Genomic DNA, 14,395 nt, shown 5'->3' on the forward strand with positions numbered 1-14,395 from the left:
CCCCTCCCCACCCTCCCTGTGGCCCCAGTAGACAGAGCCCTGGCCCCTGCCTCGGGCCAGGTTTGGCAGAGGGGGCCCTGGCTGGAAACTGGAGGCAGATGGAGGGGAGCTGGGGTTGCGGGCTGGCCGTGTCCCCTAACCCCTACACAGCCCAGCTCTGCTCCTGCTCCGCCTGGGTGTTCTGCAGGCTGGGGTGGAGGTGCTCCAGGACTGCCCCACAGCCCAGGGCCACACACCCCTGGAGCGATCCCTATCTCTGTCTGCGCCCTGGCCTCCTTCCTGCCAAGACCCTGACTGAGTCAGTAGGCTTGACTTTCATAAACTGGCCAACAAGATTGAGACCACACTTGGAGTGGAAGATGGGGCCGTCTTAAGCCCTTGCCCCCTGCACGGGTCAGCCTGTGGCCAACGTCCTGGGCCGAGCCTCCTCCTCTTGCTCCACGCTCTTCCCACCCTGAGAGGGGCCTGGTCTGGGTGGGTCTCCTGGGACCCCCAGTGTTCGAACATGACCTGAAAAGCAGAAATGGAGGCTGAAGCCTTGGCAAGGAGGCCAGCACTTCCCAATCTCACCTTCCACAGCTGATGTGCAGGGCCGGGGGAGTGTTGGTAATCCTCCCAGGACACACATGTCTGCATTTAAGGGTGTGCCTGACATGAAAGGAAATTTATTCAATGATCTTTGCTAAAGACCGGAAGGGGACTACTCAGGACCAGTGCGGTGGGTGCTGGGACCAGGGCAGTGGGATTTTGCAGTGGTGGAGAGAGATTTAGGCTCCACTCTGAATATGGCTCCAGCGAGTGGGATTTGATAGCCCAGGAGCAGAGTGGGGTCCTCGGATGGAACATCACTAAGAACAAACAGCAGGGGTGGGAGGGTTCTGGCTGAAGGGAGGCGGGGTCATCCGTCATCACCTGGGTGCCAGAGGACGAGCATGCTGCCCTGACGAGGATGATCAGATACGGGGCGGGGCAGTTCTGGCTGAAGTCACTTAGCAGTGTTCTTGCTAAAACCGGATTTTGCAAGGAAGTGTGCAGGTGGCCTAGAAGGCTCAAGGGCCTGATAGAGTTTGGCCAAGCAAAGAATCTCGTCACTGAGAATTAGAATCAAGGGCAGGTGGCTAAATAGTGCCTTGTGGATTCTCTCCGGCTTTTGCGGCCCCTCCCTCCACATCCTGCTCTGGGTAGCCCCTATCCTGCAGCCATGACCCAGATTCCTGAAGAGGGGATGACTATACAGGGGCCTGGATGCTGGGTGCCGGCCTCAGGGGCGGGAGGCACCGGGAGAGGCCTGGCCGGAGAGCCGCCGGGACCCAGGTCAGGTCAGGACCCAGTGTGTAGCGGAGCTTGGGCTCATGAGGTCAGAGCTGGAGCCACTGCACATCGTCTCCCAGGGCCGGGGCTCCCAGAGGACATGCAGTGTCTGCAGTTTTCTGGGGTGCCCCCGTCCTCTGCATGGCACTCTGCGTGTTGGGGGCCTATTGCGAGCTGCTCATCCTGGCTTCTTGGGAGCAGTGTGGCCTAAGCAAGGGAGGCTGCCCAGGACCGGCACCTGTGGGGCGGGGCTGGTCGCAGGGTCTCGGTCCCTGAGGGCTGATTCCTGCTGAATGCTTCAATGGCCAAGGGTGGATCCCTCTCCTTCCAGCCTGAGGCTGTTTCAGGAAGAAACAGTCAGGCCTCGGCAGGTTTCCCTGCCCAAGGGGAGAGTCTGAGGAGGGGCTGACTCGGCAGGTGGAGCAGGGGGCCACTTTCATCGAGTTTGTGTTCAGAACTCACTCCAGGGTCCTTTTCTTTTGGGGCCAGGCAGGCAGCACCATGTGGGACATTATTAGCAAGGAGAGGAGGGGCCCAGGAGAGCTCACAGGGCGTTTTGGGAGCTCCGTAGATAGGCAGGTCCTGAGGACTTTTGGAAAGGATAGAACAAGGTCCCGGGCAGCTTTGTGGTGGTTGAGAGCGAGGGAGGAGGTGGCCTCCCTGAGCGTGGATGGCTGGATGCATGCCCCAGACCCAGGGGCAGAGGCTGAGAAGGGAAGGCGGGAGCCCAGGGACCACACTTGGCAGGGTGGAGGGGGCAGGGGGAGCCACTTGCTGGGGAAACTTCACCGGATGATCTGGGCTGAGGACGCGCGAGTGTGGAAGAAATGGTACCTCCCCCATGCCAGATGCTGCCCACCACCGGCACAGGGTCAGAGTTGGGGTCAGCGGGGCAGCCGTGTGCCCCCAGTGGGAGCTTGGAGGTCACGGAGGAAATGCGAGACCAGATGCAGGCAGGGGAGTCCTCCGGAGCCTGCAGGAGGGGGCCGCTGGCTCAGGGGCACCGGGAGACCCCCACATGGACAGGGTGGAAAGGGCTTTCTTCAAAGCCAGGATCTTGTCTCCATCACAGCGTCCCAGCAACGCATTGGGAGTGCTTGCTGCCAGGAGGCTCCCCGGTCCCGCAGCAGCCCCTCAGCGGCTGCCCTCCAAGGAAGGGGCGCACAGACACTCCAAGGCTCCACAGCGCGTGGGCCAGGGGCCGGATCTACCCCTGGGGCAGTGGGACTGAGCGTGAGCCCAGCGCAGCCCCTCTGACTGCGTCATTGTTAGGGGCCTTCTCGGAGCTAGCAGACCTAGAACCAGGCCTAGGGGGTGGGGGCGTGCCTGGATGTGCACTGGGGGGGTGTCTGAACCCTTAGTTAGGACTGCGGGCCCTCCTTTCCACTTCCTTCAGTTCCTGGGGTCTGGGGCATCCTAGCCATGCGTGGGGCCTCCCTGCTGGGATTGGAGACCCCCTGACAGCTGGGGCTGGTCCCAGCATCTTCGCTCTTCCCCCAGGAGGACTTGGACGCAGGGTCTTCTCTGCTCCCCGTCACACAGAGGGTGGCACACCCGATGGGAACTCTCATTTATCACCAAACCAAAAGATGGAGAAACTGACAGAGAAGGGCTGCAAGCAGCTACGGCAGGGCGGTGTGTGGAAGCAGATGGGATGGGCAGATGGAGGCGGGGGCCAGCATCGCTGCCTTCTTGCCCCTCCCAGAGGACCCCAGGTCCCCAGCTCGGGCGCCCCACCCAGACTGGTAACGCCTGCGTCTGCTGTTTGGCACCGGGAGATGAATCACTTGCTTTTCAAATTAGAATCTTCCTTGCTGTCAGAAATGTTTCTTCTCTACAAGGAAATGGAGGTGAAATTTTTATATGGGAAGGGTAGCTCCCTTGGCGAATTGCAGGGCAGCGGAGGGCGGGTTCGGGGAGCCGAGTGCAGCCCGAGGTGCAGCTTTCAGGCTGGGAGGAAGCAGCTGCTTCCGGCTCCTCGGGACACGAGACGGGGACAGCGTGTGCTCGGCGGGTGGGAGTGACGCTGCCCACCTGCGGGCGTCTCCTGGGGAACGGGGTATGTGGGCTGTGTGGCGGTACGGAGCCCAGCGCTGATAGGAGGCTGCGCTGTCAGGCTGCATTTGACCATTTATGGAACCAGGCCATGAGGAGGCCCTGAATTAGAAAGGCATCCAGACCCAGGCTGCAGCCTCAGGCCGGGCACTGTCCCCTGCATGGCTCCGGCGTCCCAGCTTGGTGTTATCAGAACACAGAGGTTGAGGCTATGGCTCCATCTGGGCTGTTAGCACAGAGAAAAAATGCCCAAATGACTTGGTAAAGGGCGGGCTTCCTGGCCCCATGGCTGCACGGGTGGGCTGGCTTCCTGTGTTTGCTGAGATTTCTTTGAGGCAGCCCCACGGTAGAGTCCACTCTGGGTCCCGGCCCTGCGCTGGGCGCTGTGCTGAGCGCCTCTGTGGCTGCCATCATCTGATTTTCAGCGCACTCACAGGCAGGCGCCAGGCTTCACTTTAAAGATGGGGAAGCTGAGTCTCAGGGAAGTGGGGTCTGTGCCAGGGTCTTAGCAGGACTTCTGGGGTTGCTAGGACCCCCACGGGGCTGGGCTGGGGGTCTTCATGCCAGGCCCAATCCCTTTCCCATAGTTCCCCCCGCCGGCACTACCCAACATGTGGTCTCCGGTCATCTCGTGCTGTCTCCACCCCTCCCTCCGCTTCTCTGCTGGAGTTGTCCCTGTCACCTTACCCCAGAGCCTTCTTTGTTCTTACAGTCCCAGGCGGAGGGTACCTCGGAGCACACTCTGCAGCCTCCGGCTCTCCCTCCTAAGTCCACCTGCCCGGCCGATTGGGCTGTGTGGTCACTGTCCTCAAGACCTTATGTGCCATGAGGGCTCAGAGCCCTGAGCCTCAGCACAGGAAGTGCCACCCAGGCAGCCAACACCTGCTCAGCGGGCGGATGGCCTTGCCGACTCGGCTTTGCTCCCGGGAGCCTCCTGGAGAAGAAGCCACAGGGAGACGGACAGCCCTGGGCGGCTCCAGCTTGCCAGCTCCACATCCAAGGTCCTCCTTCTGGGGTGGGGTTACAATCTGTTCAAAGCATATGCCCAGAATAACATTTTTGAAAGTCTTTAAAAATGGGGTAAAGCTGACGTACCACGAAAGACACAAATCTTATCTCGTGCTCAGGTCTTTGCGTGTCTGCGCCCGTGTAACCGCCGTGCGTGTCAGTGAGTCCCTCCAAGAGCACGCCAGAACCACAGAGAACCCCTGGTCCCCCCCAGGGACTCCCCCGAGTCATGACCCCCAGAGGTGACCTCTCCTGTGATCTCTGACTTCCCAGCCTGTGGGGGTCTTGGGGACTGTGTTCTCCCTGCTGTTAGAGTACACAGGCCCTTTCTTTTCATGGCTGTGCAGGGAGGGAGCGGGAGACACCACGGGTTGTTCCTTCTGCCGAGGGACACTGGTGACTTCAGGTTGTCTTTCTATGGCTTTCGTGCTGGCTCTGGTGGGACCTGCGCTCAGCAGCAGACACTGGCCCTGGGGGTTGTGTGAAGCTTTGCTGCTATTCCCCACAGGGTGGGGGGGGCCAGTTACCCTCCCCCATAGCTGTGGGGACTCCCGGGACCCTTGTCGTCAGCCTTTGCCATCTCAGCTCACCTGGCGGGGGTAGAATAACGTTTTGCAGGAAAGTTACAGACTTCCTGTCAGCTCAACTCTGCAGAAGAGGAGTTTGGTGGGAAGTTTTTCCAGAGTCTTCCCTCGGCCTGGGGCACAATGTCACTGAAATGCTGGAGCAATCAGGGGCCAGCCCTCAAATGGAGTCCTCGCCTCCCCACCGAAAGGCCAGGCCCGTTCAGAGAAGACCCCGTGGACATGTGGGGCGTGCAGGCTAGGCGGGGTGGGGCTGAGTGGCCAGGTGTCAGGCAGGGCCTTTGGGAACAGAAGGTGGGTCCCTAGGGAAGTGGCGGTCACCGTCAGCCTGGCGAGCAGTGGCCCTTGTGGAAAGGGGGCTTCGGACGTGCTCGGGAGATGCAGAACCCCGTCTGTGGGAGAGCTCCTGAGAGTTAGGGGCCAGGCTCAGCTCCCAAGGCTGCCCTGACAGAGGCCACACGCTGGGGAGCTAAGATGCTGAGCCTCTCACAGCTCTAGAGACTGGAATTGGGGATCAGGGCATCCTCAGGCCCCTGCCCACTCTGGAGGCCCGAGGAGAGGGTCCTCCCTGCCTCTTCCAGCTCCTGGTGACCCCGGGCGTCCCTCTGCGTGCAGCTGTGTGGCTCCAGTCTCTGCCTCCATTGAAACGTGGCTGTCCTCCCTGCATCTGTGGGGCTGACTTCCCTCTTCTTACAAGGATGCCGTCATTGGATGAGGGCCCACCATACTCCAGTGTGAGCTCACCCTAACTTGATTACATCAGCAAAGACCCTATTTCCAAATAAGGTCACATTCTGAGGTTCTGAGTTGACATGAGTTTTTAGGGGGGCCTGCTCAGCCCAGGACAGTATGTGGTTTAAGAAAGGGATTTCCCCAGAATGATCTGCCTGCCGTCTGCATCCAGCCGCAGACCCTGGTTCCTGCCGTCTGGTCAGGGCTGGCCCTGGGTGAGCTGGAACCCTCTGTCCCTGCACCCCCAGCACTCCCACCCAAAATGAACTTTGGGGACAGACATCACAGCTTAGGGCACCCGTGGGGTCTTCAGAGGCTGAGCTGGTACCCAGCTCGTTTCCTCCCTCACAGATGCAGCCAGGCAGTGAGCAGCCGACGGGTGCCTCAGTGTCCCATGCAGCACAGCCACGCAGAGCAGGCGAGGGCCAGCCCCCAGGAAGCCGCTTGTGCCTGCCCGCAGTGGGACAAACCTCGGCACTGAGTGTGTCCACAGATGCCAACGCCCCTCAGACGGAGTGAGTTGATGACTGTTAAATGCAACAATATAAATGGCCTTGTATTTTGTATATCTTTCCTTTTTTGTTTTATTTTTCTAGCTGATCTTTTTTACTCTATTTTGCAAAAGTTAGCAGTCTGCAGGGTGCTTCCCCCTGGCTGGCTGGAGAAGCCCCATGTGCCGAGCCTGGTCCGAGGTCCTCTGAGCCCCCACGTCGCCTCGCTAAGTTGCTGTGCCCTGACCCCAGTGTGGGAGGGGCCATCAGAGCACATGTGCCTTCTACTTGGTGAGGGCGGCATTATCTTGGGGATGCAACTGCAATAATCAAGAAACTTAGAAATATTTCGGATGAATTAACTGAGAACGCAGTGCACTCACTGGCATGGCCACCTGCCCTCACCTGGGGCGTGCCTCCGGCCCTGGCACTGCTCTGCCCCACCCAGTTGGTGGAATCATGGAAGCAGAAGAGGGGTGGTCCCTGACTCGTGTTTGTGCTGTGGAGACGCCCGCAAAGGCCAGGACACTTGCATAGAATGCTCCCGGCACTCTCCCGTCTCCAGGGCTGTGTGTAAGAGTCAGTGACAGAACTGTACGCAGCGTGCAAGAGACAACTGCCATCACTGCCACCTTGAAGGGCAGCCTGGGCACATACTGTCGAGGGACAAGGAACTTGCTGACAGCAGAAGGCTTCATGCCACATGCTTCGGTCTGTATACAGTCCAAATCCGGCAAAGTGGCACGCAACACTGTCCAGGGGTTCACTGCACATGGCAAAGCTGTCCTAGAGGGTAAGGATGACAAATGCCTGTGCAGGAGGGAGGTCGCCTCTGGGAACCCTGGGGGAAGCAGGAGGGATGTGTTCCAGCTTTCCTGGGTGCCTGTCTGGCCTCTCTCTGCCCAGAGCCCGCCCCCACAGCAGCAGACACTGGACGGGGTCCCAGGCCAAGGAGCACTCCACTCAGTAGGGTGTGGGGGCTTCCCTCCTTTCAGGAGCTCATAGAGTGAGGGGGCCCAGGGATCAGCATGCAGCTTTCACCCCCAGCCCCATCTGGGACCAGCGTGCACTTTCATCCCCAGCCGCCGTCTCTGCTTCTGGCCCTGCCGGGACTTGGGGCTGCCTGCGCATTAAATGGCCCAGGTCTGTGTCCTGGTTACTCAAGCCTGAGAGAGCTGCCACCCTTGTAGGTCATGGCTGCAGGAAATCAGGCTGTCCCCCAGGTCTAGGTGGGTCTGCCAAAATGCCCCGAGACGTGAGCAGGGCCGTGAGGTCAGCCCTGGGTGGCGCCGCTCCTCCTGCTCGTGTGCCCAGATCAATCGGCTGCCCCCGCTGGAAGGGGACGCTGTCCCTGCTGGGGTCCGGAGCCCACTTCGGGCTCCCTCTCTAACCAACAGTGGCTCCCTGGAGACTCTACATGCCCCACCCTTGCCCTCTGCTCCACTGCTGGGACCACCTTTGCTCTCAAGGACTGTGGACACCGGTGAAGAGGGGCACCCGGTCGATGCCAGCTGGACTCCGTCCACCCCTCGAGAGCCAGGGCGTTGGGCTCACTGTCTTCCCCAGAGGAAGCCTCGCTGGGGCCACGGGAGGCTCGGGCCTCTGTTCCTCCGGCACATTCTGGCACGGTGGCAGGGGAGGCTCCTTAGGAGGATGAGGGGACGGAGAAGGCCCCAGGGGTCTCCTGCAGGCAGCAGTGTTTGCTCTGCAGGGCCTGGAGGTTCAGGCAGGGAGGTGGAGGCGACTACATGTGGACGCAGGTTAAAGGACAAGGATTCTGAACATGCCGGGGCTGGGTCCCGGCACCATCAGAGCCAAGTCACCGGCTCCCTCGGGGAGGAGAGAGCTGTGAGGGCTGAGTCACCGGTGGGCTGGAGTGGAGGGGAGGATAGGGCGACAGGTGAGGACACTTCAGGCCGGGCAGGCTTCCAGCGTGCGGAAGGGGCCGGTGGGTCAGATGGGGGGTAGGGTGGAGGCACTGGCTGCGTGGCTTCAGCAGGCATCACCCTGGAATGTGCTGGAATAACAAGCAGAGGCGGCGTGGAGCAGGATGGAGGGCAGAAGTGCAGAGATAGGAGTGTGTGATCCTGGGTGGAGGCGCTGACGCCTGGCCGGCGGAGACGACACTTCTGGAGCCTCGCTGAGGCTGGATCCCAGGCGCAAGGGGCGGGCCCACCACGGGGGACCCCAGGTCACAACAAGGGGCAGCTCAGAGCAGGGTGGGGGCCCCCAGGCCACCCAGGAGTGGAAGTGGCTCGTGATGCTGTGGGTGCTGCGCTGTGAGGGGCTCCTGGTCCTGCCGGCCTCCCAGCTACACGTGGCCCACTCGCCTCCACAGCCGCCAAGCCTCCCTTGGGGCTCCTGCTCTCGGGGCTGGGCTGGAGGGGCCTGGGAGTCCCAGCGGGCGAGGAAGCCGGGCCCAGGGGAGAGCAGCATGCTGGGTCAGGAGACCGGTCGGGGGCTCGGCCGGGCCTGGAGTCCAGCGGGCAGGGGCTGGCAGGGAGTGGGCAGGGTGCCCGCCACCCCGAGGGCCACCAGGGAAGACCATCTGGATTGGGTTTGCGGTGGAGGCTCGCCAGCAGTGTTTTGACTCCAGGCAGGTTTCAGAGTGTGAACGGCCCCCGTGTCATCTGCTGGGTCCCTCTGCCAGAGGGTTTCTGAAAGACAGATGGCCACACGCGGAAGCTGTCGGCGGCGTGTGGGCCCAGCGATGACGGGGGTGCGAATCCTGCTCTTCCTCCCTCGGCAGCCAGCGGTCTCTCAGTCCTCTCCCGTGTTCTCACTGTACCCTAGAAAGCAAAGCCCGAGCTCCTCAGCATGCTGTGGGGGCGAGTGGGCAGAGCCAGGCGTCCTGCGGGCACACATGGCTGTCCCTGTGCCTCCATGAGCGGGGAGGGGCGCTGGCGGGAGCCCCCACACAGGCAGCCTCCCCACCTGGGACCCCACACAGGCGGCCTCCCCACCTGGGACCCCACCCAGGCCTCCTGACCTCATGGGGCTGGGCTTGGCTACAGGAGGGCGCTTTGCGTGGAACCTGAACCTGGCCTGGCTTTGCCTCCGTGGTTTTCGGCACAGGGGGAGGGGCCGGCTGAATTCCTCCGCAGGATCCAAGGGGCTGTGCAGACACGGGCCGTGACTGCTGGGTCCTCCGTGGAGAAAATCAATACCAAGTTGGAGTGAGTCCCCAGGGTTCATGTATCACTCTGCACCCGGAAGGAACTTTCTGGAAATGCAATACATCCCTGCAAAGTGGGACTCAGGGCTCTTTCCTGTCACTGTGCAGAAGGCAAGGTCTCAAAGGGAGAAGATCGGAAGGCTGGGAGCCCGGGAGCCCGCCTGGGAGCCTGCCTGGGCCTGGGTCTCCCCTCAGGGCTGAGGAGCCCCGGGCCCAGCGCCCACGGTCGCTGTAGCCAAGCTCACAGGCCCCACCTCCTGCCTGGCCATGCTTTTGCCCACGTGGGCTGCAGCCAGGGCCTGGTCGCCACCCTCCCCAATGTGGCCCTGAGGCCAGTCCTGTGCTGGCCTGTATTGACACGCCGGCTCACTCAAATCGATTCTTGTCAAAGCCGTCGTGGAAAGAACAGCTTTCAAAATAGAGCCCAAGAAGACGTGGGCTTCCACTGTGAGAGCCTGGGTGCTGGCGGGCTGCCCAGGGTGCCTCCTCTCTCTCCAGCCGGGCGTGGAGCTCCACGAGCAGCTCCTGGCTGTTGCAGGGCTGTGAGATGTTCTCGTTTGTTCAGCCGGAAGGTCTAGAGAAAGGGGCTGAGGGGGACGTCTGAGCACCCAGCCTTGAGGAGGAGGCCAGGACTGAGGCCTGGGTTCATTCCTAATGTGTCCCGAGGACAAGCACATGGAACGGGCTGTGTTCTGGCTGCAGACCGGCCTGGGAGCGCCCTCGCTGGCCTGGGAACGGGCAGGCTGCGGGGCAGAGGGCAATGGACCTTCTGCCTAGGTGCGAGGGGCTGGTGTGCAGCTCCGCGCCCCGGGGACCCCATCCCAGCCCCTCAGCCAGCCCCTCTGCAGTGGCAGTTTTCTCTTCCTGCCAAGACCTTGGACGGAGTCTGCACCCATCCCTGCACGTGGCAGAGACAAAACCCACAATCAGATACACAGGAAGGGCCGGGGTCCTGCCACCTGCACGTTAGACCCTGAGGGTGACGTTTGCTCTTTGATCCTCTGGTCCTTTGCGCTCCGGGGGCCTCTGCCTGGCATGGAAATGTTGATTCTTCCCTGTCTGCCTAAGACAGTGTGATTTTCAGACTAGCAGAGGAGGAAATGTCCGGCGGCTGTCCTGTGGGGGTCCACCCACCCTCGAGACTGTCATGGGCCGCGTGTCTCCCCCGGAGGCTGTCCTATCCTATCGGGCTCTACCCACCCTCAATACTGTTATGAGCCACGTGTCTCCCCCCTGGGCGGCTGTCCTATCCTATGGGGGTCCACCCACCCTCGATACTGTTAGGGGCCACGTGTCTCCCCACTGGGCGGCTGTCCTATCCTATGAGGGCCCACCCACCCTTGATACTGTTAGGGGCCGTGTGTCTCCCCCAGATCTGTATGCTGCAGCCCTAAGCCCCAATGCCTCCGCAAGGGACCTTACTTGGAGATGGGGTCCTCACAGAGGTGGTTAAGGTAACATGAGGCTGGTGGGGTGGCCCTGGCCCAATCTGCCTGGTGTCCTTATACGGAGAGGAGATGAGGACACAGACCCACACAGAGGGATGGCCTTGTGAGGACAGTAGCAGGAGACAGAGCCAAGGAGAGAGGCCTCAGGAGCCAGCGGAGCCGCACCCTGACCCTGGATTCCACCTCCTGAATGGTGAGAGAGCCATTCAGGCTCTCTCTGTTGAAGCCCCCAGGCTGTGGGACTTGTTACAGTGACCCGGGAACTCACACGATAGTCACAGCACATTACAGCTGACAAAGTGAGCTCCTTCCGTGGAGACGCTCCTCCCAGCATTCCGGTGAGGTGGGGGCTGGCACGTCACCCCCACTCTGGATGAAGAGGCCGCATCAGGCGGGATGGGCTTGGCTACGCTGCAGTCACAAACAGCCCCACAGCTCACCATGGGCTACAGCACAAGTTCATTGCCTGCACTTCGGGGTGGGCACCCACTTGCCCCTGTTCCAGCCGCTGTGCTTGGCGTGGCTCCCTCCTCACCAGGACCTGTGACTGTGACGCATCAGAGGAGGAGGTGCTAGGTGGAGACAACGTGGAGACTGAGGGTGAGACTGGAGGAGGGGAAGCCCCCGTTTCTTATTGAGAGCCCTACGGGGTCAGGCCAAGGAGCGCAGGTGGCTGTGCGGGAAGGAGCTGCACTCTGCTAGGTGTGGGGGCTTCCCACCTGCGCTCCCAGGTGAGCCGTGGCCATGCCACCAGGCCCCTCAACCCTGTGCCTGCCATGCGGCCCTCTCGAAGGACCTCTGGATATGTCTGGGGAGTCCTGCTCAGCCTGGCCCCAGTGGAGTCTCTGCAGCAAATAAGCACACAGCAGCAGCAGTCACTGCACCTGTGGCCCTGAGAGGCTGTGAGCACACAACATCCTGGCTGGAAAGAGGGGAGGCCTGGGGTCCGGGCAGCTTGCGGGGCCAGCTGTGCACCCAGTGACATCCTCATCACCACCCACGCCGAGCACAGCAGAGACCCCGAGCCGAGGGCAGAAGGAGCACACGGTCACAGGAAACCTTTCCTTCCAGTTCTCTGTGCCTGCACCCAGCACTTCGTGTCTAGGGATGAATTTAATCTGCACGGTGACCTCTGAGGTGGGCACTGCCACTGTCCCAGCTCTATAGACACGGAGTGTGGCGGGCAACATAGGAAACAGCAAGCCTTTGAGCGGAGGGGGGTCTGGCTGTGGCTTCCCCTCTTTGTTGAATGGTGTCCCCACAGAAAGATCTGTCTGTGTCCCAGAACCTGTAAAGATGACCTTATTTGAAAAAAGGGTCTTTGCAGATATAATCAGGTCAAGACCTGGCAGCGTGATCGTCCTGGGCTGTCAGGCTGGACCACAGCGCCTGGTGTGAAGGACAAGCGCCTTCATGAAGAGAAGAGAAAACCCAGGGAGAGCCACATGGAGAGGGGCCGAGGCCGTGGGAGGGCCAGGCAGGGACTGGAGGGAGGCAGCCACAAGCCAAGGAACGCCTGGGCCACCAGAAGCTGCCAGAGACAAGGAAGATCCCCCTCTAGCGCCTCTGGAGGGAGTGCAGCCCTGCCCACAGCTTAATTTGGGGCTTCTGGTCCCCAGAGCTGTAAGGGAATCAGTATCTGTTGTTGAGGCCACCTGGCTTGTTGCAAGAGCCCCAGGACACGCGCCCACTTGGCCACGTTGCCCAGGCGGTTGTGGTCGAGTGCCCAGGGTTCCGGCCCCAGCGCCTGCACTCCTGACCACACAGGAGGTTGACGCCTGCCGGGAAGTCTGCTCACGGCACCCTCTCTCTTTCCGGATTCCAGTGCTTCCTGCGGTGCTCTGTGCAAAGGAGTGCTGCCGGCTCCCATCCCCAGCCTCTCAGGGCTGGGAGGTGACATCCAGCAGCAAGCAGGGGCCCCGCTGTCTGCGACAGCGTGGCTGAGAGTTGGTGCCGGCCAGGTGTGTTGGCTCATGCCTGTAATCCCAGCGCTTTGGGAGGCTAAGGTGGGAGGATGGCTTGAACCCAGGAGTTCAAGGCTACAATGAGCTATGCTTGCACCACTGCACTCCAGCCTGGGCGAATGTGAGACCGTTTCTATAAAATACAATAGAGAGACGGCGAGTCGGTGCCACACGATTGGCCCTTGGTGTGTTTTCCCTGCCCATCAGAGCTACCCCAAGGAACTGAGTGAGCAAATGTGTGCCTGTCTGCTCACCTGCTTAAGATGCAAAGTGTCGAAAGCAGGGCCCCACCCAGCATCTTCCCCTCCCGCAGGTGCCTGGCACGCTGGGCTCCTGCCGCCACAAACCGACGTGACTTGGTGAACGTAAGTGAGCACTGGCTGACCGGATCATGTTTAAAGGAATCCTTTAGGGGAACCACTCTGCAAAGAAAGTAACCCTCAGTAACTCGCTTTTAGTTATATGTGGACTTCACCTTATCCGGCTTCCATAAGGTGGATTTGCAGAAAGCCGGGGCGGTGGCGCGGCGGGAGGCGTGGGAGCTGGTGGGATTCTCCGCAGGTGCTGCTGGGCCGGGCAGTGGCTCCGGTGGGGGGCGCTGTGTCTCCAGGCCCTGACCTGGCTCCCGCTGGGCCGGCTGTGGCAGGGAAGAGCCATTTTTCATGGCAGGGGGGTGGCTTCACACCGGCCCAAGTGCCAGTATGTTCCACAGTTCTTTTTGCTGACGGAATCAGCCATCAGCTCAGCCCAGGTGACTTCCAACCTAATCTAAACAAGGTGGGGTCGGTGGACTCAGCTCTCACAAAGAAAGACACGGTGACGTCGGGCGTGGCCACGTGAGGCAGGGGTGGGGAGAGGCTGACAGCCTCTGCCTCTCCCTCCACCGGCACCGCCCGCCCCAAGCTCACGTGGCCCTTGCGGACGTCATTCCTTCACTGGGTCGTGCCAAGCAGCAGGGGTGCGGCTGTCCCAGTCCTCACGCCCTGCCCTCCTCGGGCAGCCTGGGTGTCCGCTCCTGCACTCAGAGCACTCCCCGCCAGGCACCCCCCGCCAGGCACCCCCCATCCACACCCAAAGGCAGGCCCAGGCACATGGCTTGGGTGACAGAGTCTGTTTGGGGCGATGCCTGCAAGCCCTGTGGGAAATCGGGGTGGAGGGAGCGGGCGGGGCCGAGCGGCCGCGGGAACGAGCAGTGCCCTGCCTCCAAGGGAGCCCCGGGTCCTCTCCCCACTGGCTGGCCCTGTCGTGGACATGAGCTCTCAGGTTTCTGACGGGCTGAGCGTAGTGGCTGAGGGCTCCCTCAGGCAGGGGCAGGTGGGCTTGGGCCAAAGAGAAACCTCTTCCCCGATAGGGGACACAGCAGACAGCCACCAGGAGCCGGAGTGGAGGGGCCAGGCTGTGCTCAGCCTCACGACACACTGGCGTTCGCTCAAGCTCATGGCTGGCGTTTAGGAGGGCACCGCGAGCACCTACTGAGCTGGGATGAGGTCGGAGGCTGCCCCTGCCCAGTGAGATGAATGCCCCGGGGCCATGTGGGCTCTTGGCCGGGTGGTGCCAGGATGTGCCTGGATTTCAGAGTAGGTGGTCAGGGGTGGCCACCTGCTGGGAGTCTGGACCGTGGAGCCGG

The 14,395-nt window shown here is 61.6% G+C and overlaps 1 long non-coding RNA gene across 1 annotated transcript, besides 1 other annotated feature; it reads right to left on the minus strand.

The window, feature by feature from the left end:
• Positions 1-14,395: part of a sequence alteration artifact (region identified as an assembly artifact by the Genome Reference Consortium. This region falsely duplicates sequence located at GRCh38 chr21:43376890-43571979) that runs on past both edges of the window.
• CH507-42P11.6 (uncharacterized) lies at positions 6,241-10,119 on the minus strand. The gene is made up of 3 exons (NR_171776.1): positions 9,222-10,119; positions 7,638-8,970; positions 6,241-7,022 (listed from the first exon to the last, which is right to left on the minus strand). It is a non-coding gene; the product is annotated as an uncharacterized CH507-42P11.6 (long non-coding RNA).

This window comes from Homo sapiens, chromosome 21 (assembly GCF_000001405.40).
Source record: "Homo sapiens chromosome 21, GRCh38.p14 Primary Assembly".
Lineage (NCBI taxonomy): Eukaryota > Metazoa > Chordata > Mammalia > Primates > Hominidae > Homo > Homo sapiens.